This window comes from Homo sapiens, chromosome 2, assembly GCF_000001405.40.
Source record: "Homo sapiens chromosome 2, GRCh38.p14 Primary Assembly".
Taxonomy (NCBI): Eukaryota; Metazoa; Chordata; class Mammalia; order Primates; family Hominidae; genus Homo; species Homo sapiens.
In genome coordinates, this window is record NC_000002.12 from 59,513,831 (window position 1) to 59,521,545 (window position 7,715).

General features: G+C 35.6%; 1 annotated feature.

Moving 5' to 3' along the window:
- Nucleotides 5,412-6,027: an enhancer, noted in NCBI's record as "VISTA enhancer hs394". NCBI's record gives its function as "enhancer in: midbrain (mesencephalon)[4/11]" and the evidence as "EXISTENCE:transgenic organism evidence [ECO:0001131][PMID:17130149]".

Genomic DNA, 7,715 nt, shown 5'->3' on the forward strand with positions numbered 1-7,715 from the left:
AAAAAGTCAAAAAAAAATGACAGGTGTTGGCAAGGTTTTGGAGAAAATGGAACACTAACATACTGCTGATGGAAGTGTAAATTAGTCCAGCCACTGTGGAAAGCAGTTTGTAGATTTCTCAAAGAATTGAGAGTTGAACTGCTATTCAATCCAGCAATCCCATTACTGGGTATATATTCAAAGAAAAATAAATTATTCTACCATAAGGACACATGCACCTGTATGTTCATCATAATGCTATTCACCATAGAAAAAAATGTGGAATCAACCCTAGTACCTATCAACAGTGTACTGGATAGAAAAAATGTGTTACATATATACCATGGAATACTATGCAGCCATAAAAAAGAATATAATCACATCCTTTGATGCAACATCGATGCAGCTGGAGACCATTATTCTAAGAGAACTTATGCAAAAACAGAAAACTAAACCCTGTACATTCTCACTTCTAAGTGCGAGCCAAACATAAGTTACACATGAACATAAAGATGAGAACAAAAGACACTGGGGACTACTAGATAGGGGAAGGGAGGAGGAGGGCAAGGGCTAAAAGTTTACCTATTGGGTACTATGCTTACTACATGGGTTTTGGGCTCAATTATACCCCAAACCTCAGCATCAAGCAATATATGTTTGTAATAAACCTGCCATGTACCTCCTTATTCTAAAGCAAAAACGAAAGTTAAAAATTAGCTATTAAAGGAGTAGTAATAGAATATATAAATTTAAAACAGTAGATAAGAGGAATAATTAAACATCATTTGATCCAATGGAAGTCTAGAAAAGATTCAAATGAAAAAGAAAAGCAAAAAAAAAAGCATGCTGAAGAACAAAATAACATTGCAAAAATAAAATATGTCTAAATATATATGTAAGGATCATCTGTAGAAGCTGGGATTGCATAGTGCCTGGAGTAAGGCTTCTGGATCCCAGCCAGGAGATGGGGAACCTGGGGCCATAAGAGGTGAAATGATGAGTTATCCAAGTCATGCAGCTAATTAAGTGGCAGAACTGGGATTAGAACTCAGGTTTCCTGCCTCCTAAGAATGTTAAAATCAACCTTTGGAAGCAAACCTCCAGTGCCTTCTTAAAGCATATCATCAGAAGACCAGTTGTGGTAAAATTAAATCCTGGAGTGAATTATTGAGGGGACCTGGCTTGCCTGGATGACTGCTCGAATATAGCCCTGAGAAGGCAGAGGAATATGTAAGTGGACAACCGAAGAGTAAGTATGGGTATGCATTTCTCTGAGGAAACAATGTGTCGCATATCAGTACACAGGAGAGAAGGATGTGAAGACAACTAGAGAGCCACACTTTTCAGAGCTGGATATATATTTACAGATTTTTTCCTATTTTTGGTTATTTTGTGATATAATTTGTCTTGTTTTATAATAGTTAATGATTTTTCACTTTTGTAAGATAAATGTATGATATTGTGGATTTAAATGTGAAGTGTTCTTTCACATTTAAGTTTTAGTCATTTTCTTTTGCCTCTGTGTCAGTGTATCGAATGTTAAAAGAATTTTAGAAGATTTTATATATATGACAGAGATACAGAATAAGAATTATTTAACATGGATTAATCTCACTTATTGAGAGGCAGAGGCTATCAAATTAAATTTTTAAAAAACAAATCCAGCTGTCTTCTGCTATAAGTGGTACTTTTAAAGCTAAACAGTGTAGAAAGATAAAAATAAAGATATGCAAGGAAATATATGAAGCATGACTAGCCAAAAGAAATATTACATATATAACTTGTAAAAAAGAAAGCTGGTATAGAAAGTTGACAATTTTAGATAAAATGAATTCCAGACCAAAAACAAAGAACAAGGCAAAGCCCCACAGTAACTGGGACAAAAAAAGAATGCTGCAACATGAAAAAAGAAACAACTAAAAATAAATAATAATTATGACCTGTATTACTAAAACATATAATCTTAATATATATAAAGCTGAAAGATTTACAATAGGAAATTCATACAACCACAGATCTGGAGACTTTAGTAGAACTCAATTATTAAGTGATGGTCTGAGCAGACAAAATGCTGGAAGTTTTTAACCCATAGAAAAACTCAAAATATTTAAAAAAATCTATTGTACAAAATAATTTTTCTGATAATGCCTAAAACTTTGAATATCAAATTAAAAGAAAATAAAGAGCAGTATGTGTTTTGATAGTTAAGAATGTGGAAAAACTTCTCTAAGTAACCTTTGGAGTAAAAAAGCTATCATGTTAGAAATTCAAAAAGATTTACAATTAATGGCAATTTTACTGCACAAGAAATCTATGGTATTCAGGAACATGGTACCTAGAAAATAATTATAGTTTTAAAATTATTTATTCATAAAACAAGAAAGACCCTGGGTGGGGGTGAGCTAAGTAAAGAAGCTTCTGGTAATAATAGTATAAATCTAAGTAGAATGATGATAAACCTAACAATGGATAAGATTTTGATTTTTACTAGTTCGCAGAAAAGCAGATAAACTTTTCAAGTGTTGATAGAGATAAGAAGAAAAAGTCACTCTCATTCACATGGTTGGTAGAAGTATATATTAACTTAATATTCCAGAAGGCTGTTTTATAATGTGTGTATTTTAAACCGGGTATTTCTTTGAGAATACTTTTCTGGAGGAATTTTATATTAAGGAAAAAAATCAGACAAGTATATGAAAATGAATCCTCCTTCCCAGATGAGGGCAAAGTGAAAAACGTAATGTCTAGTAAGAAAAAAAATTGGTCAGAGTCACTATATAAGATATAATACAATATTACTCAATCATTTAAAATGGTGACATATAGCTCTATTTATTGGCATGGAACTATGTGCAAGATGTATTGCGATATAAAAAACATCAGCTTATAGAATGATACACGTAGTTTCAATTTTGTCAAAAACCAAAACCAATATACACTCAATAGATAACATATTATTATATAAGAATTAAAGAGAAGTGGGAAATTGTACTGGCAAAAGTGCCTCTAATACTCATATCATTAGGAAAAATCAAACACATCAGCTTCACGGAATAACAAGCCCATTATAACTTGCAGGACTTTTTTCTTTCGTCACTTTTGTCATATACTCTCCCTTATGTTTATTTGCATTGATGTAAACTGGCTGGATACCTTAGCTATTTTTTGGCCCGGATGGTTAAAAACTGTTTTCAGAGACTTACTCCTTAAGACAGTCAGATAACCTGTATATTTTTTTATCTCAGGGCCTATGAAGTAATTTCTTTTTAATATCTACCACCAAACTCTTTGGGATGCTTCTTCTATGTTTCTGTATAGGTGTTTGTATAGCATTATTCCAGAGCAGAGCGTGGTTGCAGGGTAATTGATGACTTCAAAAATAGATTATAATTTACTTTGTTCATTGACTAATTTCTCCATACTGGACAGATGTGTTATTTGAAGTCACGGCTCATACAATACCTGAGTTCTGTACAAAACATATTACAGTATTAATATGGTGACTGAGAGACTGAATGAGTGAGCCAATATTTATTGGAGCCCCAATGTTGCTGATATTGTGTTCAATATATTCAAGTTGAAGAGAATGTTTTCAAATACACACATACACACACACACACACACACACACGCACACACACACACTATATTAACTGATTGATTCTGGGAATCCAAACTCTATGTACCTTGCAAATGGAATGCAGAAGTTCCTTTGAAATCTCTAAATTTTTTTTTTCATGAAAATTGTTTCGTGCAAAATCTGGTTGGGGCATATTGGCACGACACCAAAAGTCAAAGATGCTGAGAAGGCGTGAGCTGTGAAAGTTGTCTGTGCATGTTGGTGGGGCAGGGGTGAGGGTAGAAAAACAAACTTTGCTGAAGTATTAAAGAAAAAAATGTCAAACTATGAAACTTATGCTGTGGTTTACTGTCAGCCCCACTTCTTATATCACTGCAAATAATTGAGAATTAACCAACAGTATGCTACTAGTCCAGAAAGTTATTACATATGCCTAGGTAATTTCAGTCATATCTTTCCAAAATTAGATAAGATTTCTCTTGACGTCTATTTTGACCAACATAGTGGTTGAGCCCCCAAATTGAGTATAATTTTTAGTCATCCAAGTGTGGTTAAAATTAGTAAACACAACTGATAATTATCTTAAAGCAAAGAAAAAAAGTGGGTAAAAATTGAGATGAGAGACCTTTCTGCAGACAGTTCATGAAAAGTCACCACTTTATTAAGAGTCCTTCTCTCAATTCTCCTTGTCTTTTTCACCTGGAATGAAATGACTCACGTGAGGTTATTTCTGCTATGGCTTATCTTTATAGGCCCAAGTACCTAAAACATCTACCTACTATATCTTTTAAGATTTTAAAACTTTATACACAGTAAAATACTGACAACTTGGGGGTATCCTGTTGCCAGCAAAACCCCCAAGGAAGGTAATAGGCTGAACCTAAAGCAATAGGAAACCGGATGGAGATGCACGTTGCCAAGACACTATGGTGGAAGCAGCGTATACAGGCGCTAATCCTGGCCTATCAGCATCGTCATGGCTGGTCAGTAAACAGAGCACTGGGACAAGGTCTCGCTCTGCAACATCAAAGTGAAATCACAAAGAAGACTCCTAAAGCAACGGAGGAGTTTGCAGAGGACAAGAATAGTTATCTGTTCAATGAATATTGGCCAAAAGAATGAATGACAAGCATAGTTGTGATTATGTATATCCAGAAGGAAAAAAGAAAACCTCAAATGGAGTTGGATCTTAAAGTTGCAAGAGAATACTGAACCCAGTAGAGTGGTATCTGGCTATCAATGACGTGAAAATGATCAAACTTCTGTTTTCAAGCAGGCAAAAATAAGAAGAATGTCCTACCACCAGCTATCAGTGGCATATTGAACTGCCCGTTTATCAAGGGTCTCAGAGTCCTTGTTGGGAGGAAGCTGCTTGTTTGTTTGCTTGCGTGTTTCCGTCTTTCTCTTTCATCTCTGACAATGTTAGATGATGCTCAAATAACATTTGTCTTCTTTGCCCTGTGATATTTTCCATGTCTGAGGATTTCTGGCTAAAACTTTTGTTTTTTTTTTTTTTAACTTTAGTGGCTCTGGTGACTATAAGATACTCAGAGGAACAAAAAGCTATCATGAATCTCAGTAGAAATGGCCCTCAGTGGGGCATGTGTGTGGATCTTTAGGGCACAACAGAAACGGGAGGTATCTCAGGTAAGGGCAGGGAAGGGAACAGAGCCACAGAGACTCCATGTGTAAGATCGGGCTATCAATCATCAAAGGGGACCCATGGCAGAGAACGGGCTTCATGGCAGTCAGGAACATTGTAAAGAATCAACTTCACTTGGCACAAAGTGAATCTTGACGTTTTTCTGTTTCTTTCATTTTGTCCCAGTTTTAATTTAGATAACTTTATTTCCCTTCTTCAGGAAATTCAAAACAATAGAAAAATTGAGTTAGTAAGGAGGAAAAAAGTACCTTCAAAAGCAATTACTTCAGAAATTCTTTTCTTATAGTGGCCTAAGATTTTTTTTTTGAGTTTTTGTTTAATTAGGTTTTAAATCTTTCCTTTCTTAATTACTTCTTTTCTGGTATTAACACCTAAATATACTTCTATTCGAAGCACAAACATACAGTGATAACAATTAGCAGAATAATTACACTCTTTCTGTCAGTGTAACCTCATGGCACAGAAAGTATTACAAATCCATTTTAAAACATATTAAATGTTCATATTAATGAGGATAATAGAGAACAAGTACCAGCAAACTAAATATTGTTAATGATTTTGAGCTATTAAATTCATTACCATTTTCTTTCATAATAAAGTGGTTACTTGCTAATTAGACCTTTTTTAACTCATCATTATTGAATTCATTACATTGTGTGCAGTTAACCCTTGGAGGTCTGTGGGTGTGTGTGCACAATTAAAATCGTTTTAATACCATATTAAGGAGATATGGGGAATTCCTATGGCTTCGCAAATGGTCTTTCCATATACTTCCCTTGTGTACATTTCCTTGGCAGGATATGCTTGGAAGTTTCATGTCTGTCACTGCATTTTCACCAATACATAATATGGAAGCATCCTGAATTCATTAGGGCTATCACCATTAGTATTTAGAATAAAAGTGCATCCTACTTGTTTCATTATAAAAATTAGACACGTGTAAAAACTAAACCTAAGCAACTAAGCAAATACTTAAAATAGTTTTAGTGCAGCCTATGATGAAAGCGCATAAGGAAATTACCTACCAACTTAAGGTCAAAGAAAAATTAATATTGACCTATGGAAGAATTATAGTCTCAGAATTTTAGGATTTGTTGTTCTATTTAAATATACTACTGCTGTTTTGCCCATACCACTAACCTTGAATAGTCCGATACACACATGCACACACATACACACACACACACATATCATATATACACATAGGTATGCATGTGTTCACACACACACACTGATATTGACCTGCTACTTTCTTAGATATAGTCACATTAACCTAGCTACCTGCACTTTTTCCTGTTTTTTTCTTGTGATCATATATGTATATTTTGTCATGGCTGCTAGCCTTAGGAAGACAAGGATGACTAAGGACCAGATTTTTTTTTGCTCTATATGAGTATTTAGTGCTAAAATCTAAACTTTTATCTTAGTAGTGATGAGCTCAATTTGAAAACAAAGGTTCAGTGGGGTGGAGGGGGGTGGATCAGTGTATGAATGAGACAGGTATTAATCAGCAGACAATGATGCGCTGTGCGTGTGCGCATGCGCACACACAACCCAGATGGGCAAGGGATAGTGAGGAGCTTGGTGTTGGGGTGAGTGACAGGTAGAACATTGGCAATGTTTGCATACTTTGAGACATTGATCAGCAAAAAGAGGATAGAAGAAAGAGCTCACTATGGTAGCGTATCTCTAAGATGACTGCCATCAGTTCCTTCCTTTCCAGTACATACATGCCATTCTTCCATGGAGAAGTGGAATCTAATTCTCCTCTCCTCTTGAATCTGGGCTGGCATGAATTATGACTTGCTTCACCAACTCAATGCAGCTGAAACGTTCTTCATTTCCAAATCTAGGTCATAAGAAGATTCACCGTTTTCCCATTGTTTTCTTAGAACTCGAATTCTGGGATAAACCACCCTCCAAACAAGAAGTCTGACTACCTTGAGACCATAATCTGTAAGAAAGCCCAACCTCTTCATTTGATGAGGCTACTTGGAGAGAGCAATAACAAATCAGTCTTAACTTGTCTCAGCCAATTCAGCTCTGGTGCTGAGGAAAAAGCCTTCAGATTACCGTGGCCTCAGCTGCCCTCCCACTGAAACCATATGAAGGGCCCCAACTGAGAACCCCAGCCAGGCTTTCAGTGCCCAGACCTGAGAGAGAACAATAAATTGTTGCTTAAAACCAAAAAACAATAGATAACACAACATTAGATAGCCAGACATTGTGCATAGTCTAAGTGTAGACTTCAAACAACTTATTCTGGGGACTTAACCAATCTTCGTTTTCTTCTTTTGTAAATTTAAACAACAACAGCAAACAATTTGCAGAGGCACGGGGATTTCAGAACTCCAGCGGAATACCACTGAAATGCAATACAATGTGATTATGCCCTAGAGCACTTCATGCTCTGTGAATGGTGCCTTCTGAAGTTGTGAGGCCCAACAGTCCTATCGTGGCTAATATTTTTACAGAGCTGTACATTTAACAGGTA